Here is a 16,667-nt window from a genome sequence, read left to right as displayed (position 1 = left end):
AACAGATACCTGCTTTCACTAGATTAACATGTTATTAATACTTTTAGGTGAAACAGGTACTTAAATAAAAACAACAAATTAAATCCTTAAAGGTCCAAAATTTTGAAAAATATAAAAGAAATTGAAATGCAGTCTCTGCCCCAGAAACCTAGCATTCACATACAGGAAGACAGTGAACACATAGCATCCCTTCTGTGTTTTGTTGGATTATAAGATGGATGGATGGATGGATGGATGGATGGAGGGATGGATGGTTAGATAGATAGATAGATAGGATTATACTTATAATTTTGCAACCTAAAGTATACTTTTTCAAAGTTACATCTTAAGTGCTTAAACATTGCTACAAAGTCTTCATAATACTTGTTTTACTTGGGGATGAAAGAGTTGTGTCTATTGGACCCTGGCTGTATGTTGTGTATTTTGTCATGTAATTCACCCAGACACCACACAGCAAGGTATTGTGACCTTCGCAGTATGAAGGGGGAACCTGCAACTTAGAGCAGGTAGATCCACAGTTGAAGGCACTGGCTGGAAGCCCATCTCTCAAGCTAGCTTCCTTTTTCAAATCAGAGGTCCTCTCGTCCATACTGGGACATGGACTTGTTATCAATCACAAAGCCCTTCCTATGCCATTGGGTAATTAGATTGTGTTCACAATTGTCTGTTCTCCTGAATAACTTTTGCAAACCTGAGAAGATGCAGAATGCTACAAAGGAAGGAGGTTAGTTGATGTCAGGTGAGTGCAGGCGCCTGCTGGCCTCACCAGTGCGATAAGCAGGGAGCGTTGAGTCTCTAGGGCAACTCTCAGTGTGGAGTCTACGAGTCCATGAATACGGCAATAGCCCAAGCCACTCCCCAGCCTGTAATGATGGCTCTGTGTGAAGCCCCAGGAGACCCAGCCTGCCTCCCCACCTGGCTGTCTTTCAGGGGAGGCAGCACAGCTGTCGATAGGCCTTTGGACTCAATTATTAGCAAGATTTTAATATCTCCTCCTTTACATTGTAATTTAAGCAGGTAGATGCTTTTAAATTGCCATCTGTGTGGTGAAATTCATGCTAAGAAAATGTGGGTCTGCTTTAATTAGCTGTGCTCTGGCTGATGGATTTCAGAATGCCGTTGCCCAGATTGGCAGGAAATTCAGACACTTAGATGCATGTACTGGTAGCTCCTATGTGGTTTCGTGTCTTCACGTGATCTAGATGATTACAGATGCATGTGCATACATATGTATTTATATATGTTTTGCTTTTCTTATCCAGCATGCCAGCTTCTTTCTCCCTCTTGATTCTAAATATTATTTTTGTCTTTTATTGTCTTTGGAGTTCTTCTTTCACATATGTTTCCCCAGTTCCCACAGAAGCTACCTCATGCATCAGCAGCCACTGAGTGCTGTGACAGAGAAGGGTGTTGGATTCCTGGTTATTTCTACAGAATCCTGGACCTCTGAGGAATTGTCTGGCTTGGCAGCATTTAGAAAAGTGAACAGTGCCATGGCGGCTGTGAGAACTCTTGAGCTAGGGTTTCGTGTGCTTCCCCATCTTAAATTCCAAAGGGCTTTGCTTTGGTGGCTTAATAGGCAGGAGGAGGAATTTCTCTGCTCAGGCATCCAAGTTTTCAGACAGCTTCCCGGCCAGTCTTCCTGAAACAGCCACTTCCTGACCCTCTCCATCTTCTTGCTCTGTGTTCTGGTGTCTGAATGCCTCTCTCCCCTGGCATATCACGTGTCTGTGCATTTGTTTGCCATCCCTGCCTGGGCATCTAAGCTCCAGAGAGCAGTGGCTTTGTATGGTTTCACCACAGCGTTGTCCCCTGCACCCAAACAGTGGATGTGGACAAAGCTCCTAGCACCTAATTGATGAGTGAATCCTTACAAGGCTTTAGCTGACCCAAGATGAATGCAAATCTTCCTTCCTAAGTTGACATTTTATTAAAGAAAACAGTGGATGGTGTGTGTCCTTTTAGGTTCCAGCCCCTCCCTCATTAACTTTTTGTGAAGCTTTCCTTTGTTCTGCTGTACCATGATTGCAGCGAGCCTCCTGACCTGGGAGTCCCACCCATATTCCTGGAGGGACCCCAGTTGGAATGCTTGCCGGAATCTCACTTTGTATGGGTTACACAACATCTGCAAGATAGACAAAGGGCTGCCACTTCACAGGATTGTTGAAGGAAATGAACAAGTGAAATATGAGACAGAACCTGTCCTGGAACCCGGGGCAGAGTGGACAGCCGGTGTGCTGGTGGGAAGTTCCTCCCGCCCCCTCCTTCCCTTGCCTCACAGGCTTCTCCTTCCACCTTTGTTTCCTCATGTGGTTTTCCCTATCTCTAAAACAGCTGCAAAGCCAGAGCAGCTATGAGTCTCTTGAGTTTGCAGAGAACTTTGTAATTCATATAATGCCTTGCACACTTGCTACTTAATGAGGTGCCCTGATGTGTGTTTTGCTTGGAAGGCCCAAAGATAGCCCTTTTAGGATCCTGTTTCACAGCCCAGAAGGTGCAGGCATGGAGGTGAGGTAGCCTTCCAGGTGGTCCAGCTGCGGGAGGAGCTGCCTGGCCTCCCATAGCCATGGCTTCCTTATCTTTAGAGCACGGTGGCAACAACCATGCAAGAACGTGGCCTTTTTGTGAGGATCAAGTGTGATAAGGACGCTGCTGGTGAACATCCTGCATGCTGCGCCTGCACTGTCTCCTTTCCATCATTATCGTGGAGCCCAAATTAAGTCCCCAGAAACAGAGACTCCTCGGAGGCCGTGTGCTTAAAGGCCCTGCCCTTGCACCCATTCTCTTCAGCATTGCAGTGCTCTTGAGGCCATGCATCCCTTTGTAAAACCCGCGTGGTCGAGCTTATGATTCATCCCACACCAGGACACCTGGTATCTATGGATACAAGTGCCAGCCCAGCTAGAAAATTTGCATTTTGAATTAGGGCCGAAAAGATCACCCTAAAACACAATTTTGATTTTAACGCTGTGTCACTCCAAGAAATCCAATAGCCCTTTGTAGGTAAGAAGAGAAAAAAAAGTCCAAATATCTTAATTCGGAGTTCAAAAGCCTTGTATCCTGACTCACCAAAGCCTTTCTTTCTGGCACACTCTCTAGCTTCTGCTTCTCATGGGGCTGATAGCACCCCTCTTAAGGGGAACTCCAGTGAATCTTCTTCCCCGGAAACCTGCCTGCTCCACTTCAGCTCCTGGGATCTAGTCCTCTTGCTCGCCCCAGCATTGGCACTCATTGCCTGCCTTGCTGGCCATTCTTGGCCTAAATACATCTTATCTGCATTCATTTCTTTGCTTCTGTGAGCTCTGGGCTCTGGGCTGAGCACTCAGATTATGAATCAGAGTCAGGCAGGGTGCCCATCCGGGATGCCCAGACACAGATGCTGGAGCTCCTGAGAAGCTGCCAGCAAGCAGACGCCTGTGCTCCCTGCTGCAGAGGAAGGAGGATAAACACCTCCTCACCTTCCATGCAGACACGACCTTCCACCCACTCCTTTGACTCTGGTCTGCTGCTGCTGAGCTCTGCCCTGCACAGTTCTCTCCCAGGATGACCGGCCTTCCCAGGGCTGTCAGCAGTGAAGGGCGGATTATCACGTTTGCTGGAGCACAGGGCTGCTGTGGGCATTAATTAAGTCACTGTTTGGAAGGAACTTGGAGACCGCCCACAAAAGGCGGTTCACAAGGACAAGGGCTGGTTATTAAGGCATTAAATCCCCAATTTGCCACTAGATAGAGGCAGTGGAACTCTCTCTGACTGCTCAGGAAAAAAAAAAAAAACAGGATTCCTGCATATCCCACTGCAGGAAAAAAAATGAAATAATAATGAGATGCACTTTACTTGCTCTCAAAGTTTTATTTCATTTAAAAGGTGCAAGGAGGCAATCTACTCTTGATCTGGTTCTTCCTTAGCAGTTAGTTGTTATTTACTAGGCAAATTGGCTGCATAGGAAAAGGCATGGGCATCCACATTTCTGGTCATATGAATGGAGTTCCAGCAAGATCAAATCCTGTGATGCATGGAGCAAACACTTCTTCACCATCCCTGTGCCTTAAAAAGTTTATGTGGGAAGGACTCCACCTATGACCTTAAACCAAACTGCCCGGGTGCGGACGCAGGCCTCCGTGCAGCAGCATGTGAATGCATGAATGGCACTGCAGAACCCACATGGGTGCTTTGTGTTAGCAGAATTCAGTCCCCCTTCTTGGAGCCCACCTGGGCCAGCAGGGCTCTCCCCTTTCTGGTGAGAATTGCCCCTCATTTCTGAGTACTTCAGCCCAGCGAGATGGAGTTGGTGGCAGCATGCCTCCAGCATGTCCCCGATCTGCAGAGCAGCACATGATCTGAAGCCTGGCTCTGCAGACACTCCCTGATCAACAGCCGAGGTTATAGCCAGAAGCGGAATTCTGAGCATGGCAACATGCATCTGAGCCCTTGTGCCCTCACGGTGACCATGAGCCTCCGGTTCCAGGCTCCAGTGGGCCACACGGGCAATGAGTTTGGGTTAATGTTTCAGGTTCTAGGCTTCAGGTCCTGGCTCACCAGGTGAGGCTGTGAAGAGGCAGAGCCCAGTGGCTGGATGGGCAGGTGTCAGAGGCCCCACAGACACCATTGCTGATGGGTGAGGATCTTGGCCTGGAGCTGAAGGGCACAAAGGGGGTTCCCATGCGTCATTCGAGGGAAGCCTGGCCCCTGAGTCCAGGGAAGAAGTGACCGCTGGGCCCGTGGGAAGTTGAGGCAGGAGTGAGTAGCTCAGGAGGCTTCAGTTGCTTCATTTGTGTTTCCTGAGTGTTCCTTGAGACATCGCATGAATATATCAACAACTTTGAGATATAATTCACATGCCATAAAATGCACCCATTGGAAGTGTACACTTCAGTGGGTTCTAGAATCGCGTGTTCTCCTGTATCTGTGGGATACATTCCAAGACCCCCCGTGGGCACCTGAAACCATGGATAGTGCCAAAACTCCATATACTATGTTTTTTCACATACACACATATTTGCGGTAAAGTTTAATTTACAACTCTGGCCCAGGAAGAGGTTAACAATAATAACTAATGACATGGAGCGATGATAAACAACAAGCCGGCCTCGGTGCTCTATCACCTGGGGCCACCCTGAAGTGCAATGAGGCACCCTGCATACAACACTGCGGTACCACAGCGGTGGCTCTCATGACTGAGATGGCTTCCAAGTGACTGACGGGTGGGTAGGGTGTGCGGTGTGGACGGACGCACTGGACAAAGGAATGATTCATGTCCCAGCCAGATGGAACTGGAGGGCGGGAGATTTCATCACGAGCACACAATGGAAAATTCATCATGGTTTATTTCTGGAATTTTCCGTTGAATATTTTTGGACCATTGTTGACCTTGGGTATCTGAAACCATGAAAAGGAAAACCACAAATAAGCGGGCCTATGATAGTCACAGATACAAACAAGTATCACCCAGTCAACTTTAGAACATTTTCATCACCTCAGAAAGAAACCCCATCACTCCCACATTCCCCGACTCTGGCCCCAAGTGGCCACTAATCTACCTTCTGCCTCTGCAACTTTCTCCATTCTGCACTTGTTATGTAAATGGAATCATTAGACGTGGCCGTGTGAGACTGACTTCTCTCACTTAGCATAATGTGTTAAACCTTCATTTATGTCGTAGCATCTATCAGTGCTTCATAACTTTTTATGGCAGATATATATTTCATTATCTATGAATTCATATATATCCCACATTAGTGAACTTTATTATATAAATCAGCCCCATTCTCTTTGTCCATTCATCAGTAGATGGAAATTTAAGGAGATTCCATTTTGGCTGTCACAAATAAAGTTACAGTAAACATATACAGTCTTTATATGAATGTGTGAACATGTTCTTAATGCTTCTTTAGGAATGGAATTTCTGGGTCACATAGTGACTCGACTCTGGTGAATCCGTTCAGGAGCTGCCTCACTGTTTTCTAAAGTGACTGCACCATTGACATTCTCACCAGCAACGTAGGCATGTTCTGATTCCCTTGGTGGTCTAGCACCTGGGGCCATCCTCAAGTGCAATGAGGGCTGTCTGCATACAGCAAGTGACAAGTGACCAGCACTTGTCAGCATCTCATGTTTGCTTCTGGACATCCCAGTGGGTATAGCATGGTCTCACTGTAGTTTTGATTTATACATCTCTGATGACTAATGATATTGACAGTCTTTTTGTGTGTTTAGGGTTTTTTGCAGATTTTCTTTGGAGAAATATCTGTTCAGATCCTTTGCCAGTTGTTAACTGGGTTGTCATTCTATTATTGATTTATAATAATTATTTATATATTCTGGATAGAAATCCCTTATCAATATATGATTTTTAAATACCTTCTCCCCTTCTGTAGATTGTTTTTTTCACTTTTGTGGTGGTGTATTTGCAACACAAAAGTCTGTTTTTTAAAATTTTGATAGCGTTCAATTTATCTACTTTTTAATTGCTCATGCTTTTGTTGTCATATTTAAGAATATGTTGCCAAATCTGAGAGTTGTATAGTTACAGTTTTTTTTTTTCTTTTTTTTCTTTTTTTTTCTTTTTCTGAGATGGAGTCTTGCTCTGTCACCCAGGCTGGAGTGCAGTGGCGCAATCTCGGCTCACTGCAACTCACTGCAACTCACTGCCTCCCGGGTTCAAGTGATTCTCCTGCCTCAGCCTAACATGGTAGTTCGGATTACAGGCACATGCCACCATGCCTGGCTAATTTTTTTGTATTTTTACTAGAGACAGGGTTTTGCCGTGTTGGCCAGGCTGGTCTCAAACTCCTGACCTCAAGTGATCCACCCGCCTTGGCATCCCAAAGTGCTGGGATGACAGGCATGAGCCACCATGCCCAGCCTACTTTTAGTTCTTATATGGATCCAAGTTTGGGTCTTGGATCCATTTTGAGTTTATTATTGTACACAGTGTGAGATAGGGACATGCTGGAGGCAGGCTGCCACCAACTCCATCTCACTGGGCTGAAGTACTCAGAAATGAGTACCCCTGTTTGCATGGGGATATCCGGTTGGTTAAAAAGATGATTCTCTCCCCTTTGACTAGCCCCGGCACCCCTGTGAAGAGTCTGTTGACAGTAGACGCGTGAGTTACTTCTTGGTATGGGTTCTGTTCCGCTGAGCTGCATCATGTCTGTCCATATGTGGCACCACTCTGTCTTGATTGCTGTTGCTTTGTAGTGAGTTTTGAAGTCGGGAAGTGTTTGCCCTCCTACTTTGTTCTGTATGATGTTAGCTGTGGGTGTGGCTTCTGAATCTTAAAGTTCACAAAGCCATTGCATAGAAGATCATGGATGTAATCCCTGGTCTTTAAATGACAGAACATCCCTAGAAGGGCGTCGGATCGATCACTGGGTAGTAGCAGCCATGGGGAGTGTATCCAGAAGATACCGAGACTTGATCCAATATAATGAATCTGTGGCTATGATGGACAGACAGCAGCAGAGTGGCACCTCCCATGTGCCTTTCTTCCTAGCACACTGCTGTCACTGGCAGCAGGCCCTGTCTACACCCAGACAACACCTAACTGTCCCTGCATTTCACAGCTTGTTCATAGCCAAGCAGAACTTAACAACATACAGTCAGCCTTCAGACTTGCAGCTTCAGACATCTAGGTCTAGGGGGAAAACATTTGGCTTCCCATTCTTCCAAATGTTTTCCCCCAGACCTGAAGGGTCATTTAGGGACAAGTTGTTTCTTAATCCCCTGCTGCCTGTACGTCTCACCTTCCTCACTCTCTACACAGAAAAGCAGCTAAGCAGGAGGAGAAGCAGGAGAATCTACTCTGAAGTTCTGCCAGATGGGCACTGCCTTGGTGTACTCTCCATTTTACCCCATAGATGCCCAAAATGTAAAGGCAGAGCCTTTGCACAGCTTTAGAATAATCTTTAAAATGCAATGGGAGGCTGGTTTCAAATATGCAAATCAATCAATGTGATGCATCCCATTAACAGAATGAAAGATTTTAAAACCCCATGATCATCTCAACTGACACAGAAAAAGCTTTTCACAAAGTTCAACACCCTTTCATGAAAAAAAAAAAAAAAAAAAACTCTTAACAGTTTAGGTATAGAAGAAAAGTTTCTCAGCATTATGAAGGCTATCATGTAAAACCTGCAGCTAATATAATTAACAGGGAGCAACTGAAACTTTGCCACTAAGATCCAGTAGAAAGCAGAGATGCCCTCTCTCGCCACTTCTATTCAGCATGGGATTAGAAGTACTAACAAGAGCAGTCAGACAAGAAATGAAATAAGATAAACAAAAGGGATCCACTTCAGAAGGAAGAAGTAGCATTTCTCTATTTGCAGATGACATGATCCAATATGTAGAAAACCCCAAAGATTACACACAAAAGCACTGTTAGAATTATGAATGAATTCGGCAAAGTTGCAGAATACAAAATCAGCATACAAAAATCAGTAGCATTTGTATAGAAAAATAATAACCTAGCTGGAAAATAAATCAGTAAAACAATCCCATTTATGATAGCATCAAAAAAGATATTTTGGAACAAATTTAACAAAGGAGGTAAATGATATGTACACCAAAAACTATAAAACATTAAGGAAAGAAATGGAAAAAGGCACAAATAAATGAAAAGATATTTCATGTTCATTAGGAAGAATTAGTATTGTTAAAATGTCCATACTACCCAAAGTAATATACAGATTTAACACAATCCCTATTAAAATCTTCAATAGCAACAATAGCAATTTTCACAGAAATTGGGAAAATATCCTAAAATGTTTGTAGAACCACAAAAAACTCCAAGAAGCCAGGAAAAAAAGAAAAAAAAAACCACTGAGAAGGAAAAACAAAGTTGGAGGAATCATACTTCTTGATTTAAAATTATATTACAAAGCTATAGATATTAAAGCAGTATGATACTGGCATAAAAACAGAACCATAGACCCGTGGAACAGAACAAAGAGCCCCCAAATAAATTGAAACAAATATGCGCAACTAATTTTTGACAAGGTCACCAAGAGGACACAATGGGGAAAGGACAGTCCCTTCAATAAACCGTGCTGGGAAAACTGAATTTTCACATGGAAGATAATAAAATTGGATCCTTGTCTTATACATTAAAAAAAATAATAATAACTCAAAATGGATGCAAGCCCTAAATGTAAAACCTGAAACCATAAAACTCCAAGAAGAAAATGTTGGGAAAAATCTCCTTGACCTTGGTCACAGCAACACTTTTTAAAATGTTACCCAAAAGCTTAAATGACAAAACAAAAATAAATAAATGGACTACACAAAACCATAAAGCTTCTGCACAGCCAAAGAAACAATATCACAATGAAAAAGCAGCCTATAGAGTGGAAAAAAAAAGTTTGCAAATCACATCTGATAAGGGGTTAATATCCAAAATGTATAAATAACTCTTACAAATCAACAGTAAAAATAAGGCAAATAATCCTCAAATGAGCGAAGGCCGTAAACAGACATTTTTCAAAACAACAAATAAAAATGTCCAACAGGCAAATGAGAAGGTGTTCAGCATCACTCCTCAAATGGGAAACGCAAAATAAAGCCATCATTGTAACCTCCTGGCCTGTTCTTCCTGCCCACTGCACAAATGAAGACCAGGGCATTGCAGTAAACCAAGAGTTTAATTAATGCGAGGCTGGCCACGCCCGTGGCAGATGGAGTTATTAACTCAAATCAACCTCATGGAAGGCTTGTAGGTTAAGGGATTTTCAAGGACAGTTTGAGGAAAGTGTGGGGCGCCTAGGCAGGCTGCTTGCTGCCAACTGACTAGGATACAATCACAGGGTGTGGGAAAGGTCCCCCTGTGCACTGAGTGGTTTCTGAGTGGGGCCACAGGAGTGACAGAGTCATCTATTGGGGGGTCCACATGGAGCCATGGGTGTCAGACATGCAAAAAACCTGAGAAGATGCCTCAAAAAGCCAATCGTAGGTTCTACTATAGAGATGCTCTCTGCAGGACCTCCGGAATAATGGCTGACCATCATGAATGTCCACACCTTAGCAGAATTCAGGCTCCTCTCCTCCCCCTCACCAGGTGGTCTCTCATTAGCTTTACAAAGGCAGTTGGGTTTGGGGGAAGGCCTATTAATTATCATTTAAACTATCAACTAAATGTCTCCCAAAGCTAGTTTGGCAGCTTGAGGGTAAAGGCAAAATGGCATTGGCTGGATCAGATCTTCCACTCCCAGAATTTTCTCACTGTTACCATTTATCAAAGGTGGTTTCATCATAAGTTACCACCTCACACATGGAAGGACAGCTGTGTGAATGGAAAAAAACAAGTTGGGACCACAATTCCCTAGGCCAAAAGAAAAAAAAATAAGCTGAAATCTGAGTCATGCAAGAAGTTACCTTTCCCTTTGTTCCGAAGCAGATAGCTACAGATAAAAGGTTAAATATCTCCACAGGTAGCAACTCCTCATTCACCTTATCTTATGTAAAGTGCCAGTTTTCCCTGTTAAATATTGAAGCTCTCAAATTCATCTTTGGAGAAAGGCACAGACAGTTTCTGTAATTCTGTTTTGTTTTTTTCCTTAACCTTGGCAAAATAACCTTCTAAATTGATTGATACCCATCTCAGATACTTTTTGGTTTACAGCTATTATCCAAAAATCAAGAGATAGCAAGGGTTGGTGAGGTTGTGGACAAAAGGGAAGCCTTGCACACTGTAGATGGGAATGTGGCTTGGTACAGCCATTATGAAAAACAGTACATTAAAAATAGAACTACCATGTGACCCACCAATCCTCCTGAGGAAATTCCAAAGGAGACAAAATCAATGCCTCGTAAGGATGCCTGCAACTCCCATGTTCATTGCAGCATGATTGACAATAGCCAAGATACAGAAGCAACCTAATGGACAAATGGATGGCAAAAATGTGGGGGATATATATATATATATATATCTTCAATGAAATATTATTCAGCCTTAAGAAGAATGCAATCCTGCTATTTGCCACAATATAGATATACCCAGAAAATATTATACTACGTAATATAAGTCAGATGCAGAAAGAAAAATATTGTATTATCTCACTTAAATGTGGAACTTTTTTTTTTTTCCTAAAGAGCTCAGCCTGGGTGCGGTGGCTCAGGCCTGTAATCCCAGCACTTTGGGAGGCTGAAGGGGGTGGATCATTTGAGCTCAGGACTTGGAGACCGGTCTGGCCAACATGGTGAAACCCCGTCTCTACTAAAAATACAAAAATTAGCCGGGCATGGTGATGTGCATTTGTAGTCTCAGCTACTCTGGAGGCTGAGGTGGGAGGATCACTTGAACCCAGGAGGCAGAGGTTGCAGTGAGCCGAGATCACGCCACTGCACTCCAGCCTGATTGACAGAGTGAGACCCTGTCTCAAAAAAGTAAAAATTAAAAATAAAAGCTCAAATACACGTAGGTGAGAGTGAAACAGTGGTTATGGGTGGGGGGTGATGGGGAGATATAAGTCAAATGATACAAAATAGCAGATATGTGGGATGATCAAGTCTAGAGATCTAATGCCCAATATGAAAACTAAAGTTAATAAAATTATACTGTGTTGGAGGCTTTGCTAACTAAGTAGATTTTAGCTGCTCTTGTCACAAAAAAGTAACTGAGATGATAAACAAGTTAATTTGTTTCACTATAGTAAGCATTCTACGATGTATGTGTATCCCATATCAACATGTTGTAAACATCAAACATACATGATAACATTTTTTTTAATGAAATGGAGAAACTAGGCTATAAGCAGACTGTTAGAGTACCACATAATGATGTGTTTGTGTCTGAAGTAAGAAAGGGTGCAAAAGAAAGAAGCCATGAGTGAAAGAACACGTGCAGGAAACAACGCATGGAGGAAAGAACTCATGCAGGAAAGAAGGCATGCAGGAAAGAACACATGCAGGAAAGAATGCATGCAGGAAAGAACACCTGCAGGAAAGAACGCATGCAGGAAAGAATGCATGCAGGAAAGAACGCATGCAGGAAAGAACACCTGCAGGAAAGAACGCATTCAGGAAAGAACACATGCAGGAAAGAACGCATGCAGGAAAGAAGGCACGCAGGAAAGAACGCATGAGGAAAGAACGCATGCAGGAAAGAAAGCAGGCAGGAAAGAAAGCAGGCAGGAAAGAAGGCATGCAGGAAAGAACGCATGCAGGAAAGGCACACAGGAAAGAACGCACACAGGAAAGAAGGCACGCAGGAAAGAACGCCTGCAGGAAAGAAGGCACACAGGAAAGAACGCATGCAGGAAAGAACGCCTGCAGGAGAGAAGGCACGCAGGAAAGAACGCATGCAGGAAAGAACATATTCAGGAAAGAACGCCTGCAGGAAAAAACACATGCAGGAAAGAACATATGCAGGAAATAATGCCTGCAGGAAAGAATGCATGCAGGAAAGAAGGCAAGCAGGAAAGAACATATTCAGGAAAGAATGCCTGCAGGAAAGAACACATGCAGGAAAGAATGCCTGCAGGAAAGAACGCATTCAGGAAAGAACACATGCAGGAAAGAACGCATGCAGGAAAGAAGGCACACAGGAAAGAACGCATGAGGAAAGAACGCACGCAGGAAAGAAAGCAGGCAGGAAAGAAGGCATGCAGGAAAGAACGCATGCAGGAAAGGCACACAGGAAAGAACGCACGCAGGAAAGAAGGCACGCAGGAAAGAACGCCTGCAGGAAAGAAGGCACACAGGAAAGAACGTATGCAGGAAAGAACGCCTGCAGGAGAGAAGGCACGCAGGAAAGAACATATTCAGGAAAGAATGCCTGCAGGAAAAAACACATGCAGGAAAGAACATATGCAGGAAATAATGCCTGCAGGAAAGAATGCATGCAGGAAAGAAGGCAAGCAGGAAAGAACATATTCAGGAAAGAACGCCTGCAGGAAAGAACGCATGCAGGAAAGAATGTATTCAGGAAAGAACGCCTGCAGGAAAGAAGGCACGCAGGAAAGAAGGCATGCAGGAAAGAACGCCTGCAGGAAAGAAGGCATGCAGGAAAGAACGCATGCAGGAAAGAACGCATGCAGGAAAGAATGCCTGCAGGAAAGAACGCATGCAGGAAAGAACACATGCAGGAAAGAACTCCTACAGGAAAGAACGCATGCAGGAAAGAGCGCATGCAGGAAAGAACACATGCAGGAAAGAATGCCTGCAGGAAAGAACACATGCAGGAAAGAATGCCTGCAGGAAAGAACGTATTCAGGAAAGAACGCCTGCAGGAAAGAAGGCACGCAGGAAAGAAGGCACGCAGGAAAGGCACACAGGAAAGAATGCACGCAGGAAAGAAGGCACGCAGGAAAGAAGGCACGCAGGAAAGAATGCCTGCAGGAAAGAAGGCACACAGGAAAGAATGCCTGCAGGAAAGAACGCATGCAGGAAAGAACGCCTGCAGAAGAGAAGGCACGCAGGAAAGAACGCATGCAGGAAAGAACGTATGCAGGAAATAATGCCTGCAGGAAAGAATGCCTGCAGGAAAGAAGGCAAGCAGGAAAGAACATATTCAGGAAAGAACGCCTGCAGGAAAGAACGCATGCAGGAAAGAACGCATGCAGGAAAGAACGCATGCAGGAAAGAACGCCTGCAGGAAAGAAGGCACACAGGAAAGAAGGCACGCAGGAAAGAACGTATGCAGGAAAGAACGCCTGCAGGAAAGAACGCATGCAGGAAAGAACGCATGCAGGAAAGAACGCCTGCAGGAAAGAACGCCTGCAGGAAAGAACGCCTGCAGGAAAGAACGCCTGCAGGAAAGAACACATTCAGGAAAGAACGCCTGCAGGAAAGGAGGCACGCAGGAAAGAAGGCACACAGGAAAGAACGTATGCAGGAAAGAAGGCACACAGGAAGGAAGGCACGCAGGAAAGAAGGCACGCAGGAAAGAACATATGCAGGAAAGAACGCCTGCAGGAAAGTATGCAGGAAAGAATGCATGCAGGAAAGAAGGCATGCAGGAAAGAAGGCATGCAGGAAAGAACGCTTGCAGGAAAGAATGCCTGCAGGAAAGAACGCATGCAGGAAAGAACTCATGCAGGAAAGAAGGCATGCACGAAAGGCATGAATCAATGTATTAGGCTTCATGATGGAAAAGGAAGCATGGTGCACTGAGGGAGTGGAGTGAGGGTGCCTGAAGCAGCCGGGCCTGGGGCCATGAGAACAGGTGCTGCTCCCAGAGGCTGAGGGGAGACTTAGTCAGGGAAAGTGGGGGTCCACACAGGAAGGCGTGCAGACATGGAGGAGGCTCGGCAGCCCTAAGCACCCATGGGCCCCACACCAGGGTGCTGTCTTACCTCAAAGGTGATGGGGTGGCACTGAAGACTCAGGTACAGGAAGGGGACATCTCACAAAGACATAGAGAAGGGGCAGGAGGTGCCAAGGCACCCACCCCAGGAGAGAAGCCCCTGTGGCTGCCGGAGGAAGCAGCAGCAGGCCCACAGGCCATGGTCCATCAGTGGGAATCAAGCCACACAGCAGGAGGGAGAGAAGAGCTCTGTTGAGAGGCACTGGGAGGCTGAGAGGAGCTACCCAGAGGCCAGGACCATGGGCCAGGGTGACGGTGGGCAAACCTGGACTGGGGGCCTGGGTTGTTACTATTCACTGTCACAGGGAACTTGGAGGAGAAGGCTGAGGGGTGTTTAATAAGTGACCCTCCTACCTGCTGACTTTTTCAACAATTTATGTGAAACGTCACGTGGAAAAGCCCAAAAAGCCTTTGGCAGGAAGTGTGAGGCTGTGTTGAGAGACACACACCAGAAGCACAGATGCCCCCCATGCAGAGCAGGCCATGGGAATCGAGCAAGTCTAAGTGGGAAATGGGAACGGGACTCAGGAAGAACAGGTGCATATTTTGGAGCAGTTGTAAGCTTACCGTGGGGTTGACGTGGAGGCATAGATTGGTTCTCAGCAATTCCCAAGGTATATTAGTCCATTCTCATGCTGCTACAAGGACACACTGGAGACTAATTTATAAAGAAAAGAGGTTTAATCAACTCACGCTTTAACATAGCTGGGGAGGGCTCAGGAAACTTACAATCCTGGCAGAAGGTAAAGAAGGAGCAAGGCACCTTCTTCACAAGGTGGCAGGAAGGAGAAGTGCAAGCAAGGGAAATGCCAGACACTCATAAAACCATCAGATCTCTTGAAACTCACTCTCTATCATGAGAACAGCATGGGGGAAACTGCCCCGCCCCCGTGATCCAGTTACCTCCACTTGGTGCCACCCTTGACATGTGGGGACTATGGGGATTACAATTCAAGATTACAATTCAAGGTGAGATTTGGGTGGGGACACATATCACAAGGCTAAAGTATCATGTTGAATATTTACCCTGAAAAACATTGACCCTACCCTGTGAGTAAGGACAAATGATTACACCCTTTTGCAGTTAGTATAATGCTTGGTCCACCGAAGGCCTTCAGTCACTTCATACATTCCATCCTCATTGTCTCTTAGGCAACCTGGAGCACAACAGTGGCCTGACACTTACCAGTGGCATCCAATGACAGACCAACTGAAGCATGTGGCATACATGGAAAGCAGTTTTGAAATTGAATTCTACATGAAACTGAGAGATACCCAACTGTACTTTACAACTGGTATCATAGATAATGTTTTCAGTATCTTATTACCATAAGTGGTGATGAGGTATTGGGCTAGAAGAGGTCAAGGCAGGCTGCTGTTCGGCAGCAGCAGAGAGCCAACCGCACAATCACACACCAAGTCTCATGGTCGAGAGACCATGGAGAAAATATACCCCAGCTAAGTTACACCGGTGTTTCTCCAACTGTGGCCACAATTCATTTGTGAGTTGTGATACCAGTCTGAGGAGGCAGTACTAATGTCAATAAAAAGAAGTAGAATGGAAAGCATTTGAGGATGTCATACATATTAAGAAGGTGTTGTTCTGTGAAATGTTTGATTTTATCACGGTTTCAAATCTCTATAATATACATAGGATGTGCACACGGGATCAAGATGTAAAATCTATTTCTCACCGTGGAGCAGGGTTAAAACCTGACAGCCACCATCCTATTTCCATGTAGAAAGAAGGTGACCCCCCCACCTCTGAGCAAGAGGATCTGGAGGTAACAAGACCCATTCGAGGAATGAAAAAGTAAACCAAGAATCCCCGGGGTACCAGGTTGGAACGAGGCCTTTTCTTCAGCTGAACCCTGAGGTGCTAAGAGGTCATGCCCAACAAAGGGAACCCAGGAGGTCCTGACGTTGTTCCCTATTTTACTTTTGCCTGAATTACTTCAGGACACCCTGTGCTTCCTTTCCCAACTTACTCATCAACTGTGCAAAAATGGCCAAATTGTGTACCCTTTCCAGCTTCTGTCCAACATCTGCAGAATGAGGCTAGTAACACCCACTTTATACAGTTGTGAGGAACAGGGACAATGTGGCACCAGCCCTGTGCAGAGACGCTCTCACTCACTTCTTTCTTCCTTTATTTCTTCACTCTATTATTGATCAAATGTTTACATATAATGTACCTTGTGTGAGATATTAACCACACAGTGGTGCGACATGATCTCTATCCTTTTGTAAAGACAAAAATTGACCAAAATAAATGCAAATGTGTGACTGTGACAAAACCTAATTTTGAAAATTAAAATTGGAGTACTGAAAATTTAAAGTGCAATTGAGGAAGTCAAAGGTAAAT

General features: G+C 44.8%; 1 protein-coding gene across 32 annotated transcripts in view, besides 2 other annotated features; it reads left to right on the top strand.

Moving 5' to 3' along the window:
* The window catches only part of MYT1L (myelin transcription factor 1 like), a 542,163-nt gene that overhangs the window by 313,306 nt on the left and 212,190 nt on the right, over positions 1–16,667 (top strand). The gene's annotated exons all lie outside the window — the stretch shown is intronic.
* Positions 9,750–10,251: an enhancer, noted in NCBI's record as "OCT4-NANOG-H3K27ac hESC enhancer chr2:2011491-2011992 (GRCh37/hg19 assembly coordinates)". NCBI's record gives its function as "activates a minimal SCP1, AML or CMV promoter by ChIP-STARR-seq in naive and primed H9 embryonic stem cells {active_cell/tissue: H9 hESC(naive and primed)}" and the evidence as "EXISTENCE:reporter gene assay evidence [ECO:0000049][PMID:30033119]".
* Positions 10,252–10,753: an enhancer, noted in NCBI's record as "OCT4-NANOG-H3K27ac hESC enhancer chr2:2010989-2011490 (GRCh37/hg19 assembly coordinates)". NCBI's record gives its function as "activates a minimal SCP1, AML or CMV promoter by ChIP-STARR-seq in primed H9 embryonic stem cells {active_cell/tissue: H9 hESC(primed)}" and the evidence as "EXISTENCE:reporter gene assay evidence [ECO:0000049][PMID:30033119]".

This window comes from Homo sapiens, chromosome 2 (genome assembly GCF_000001405.40).
Source record: "Homo sapiens chromosome 2, GRCh38.p14 Primary Assembly".
Classification (NCBI taxonomy): domain Eukaryota; kingdom Metazoa; phylum Chordata; class Mammalia; order Primates; family Hominidae; genus Homo; species Homo sapiens.
The sequence above is the reverse complement of the archived record's forward strand: the minus strand, read 5'-3'. Positions and strand labels throughout refer to the sequence as shown.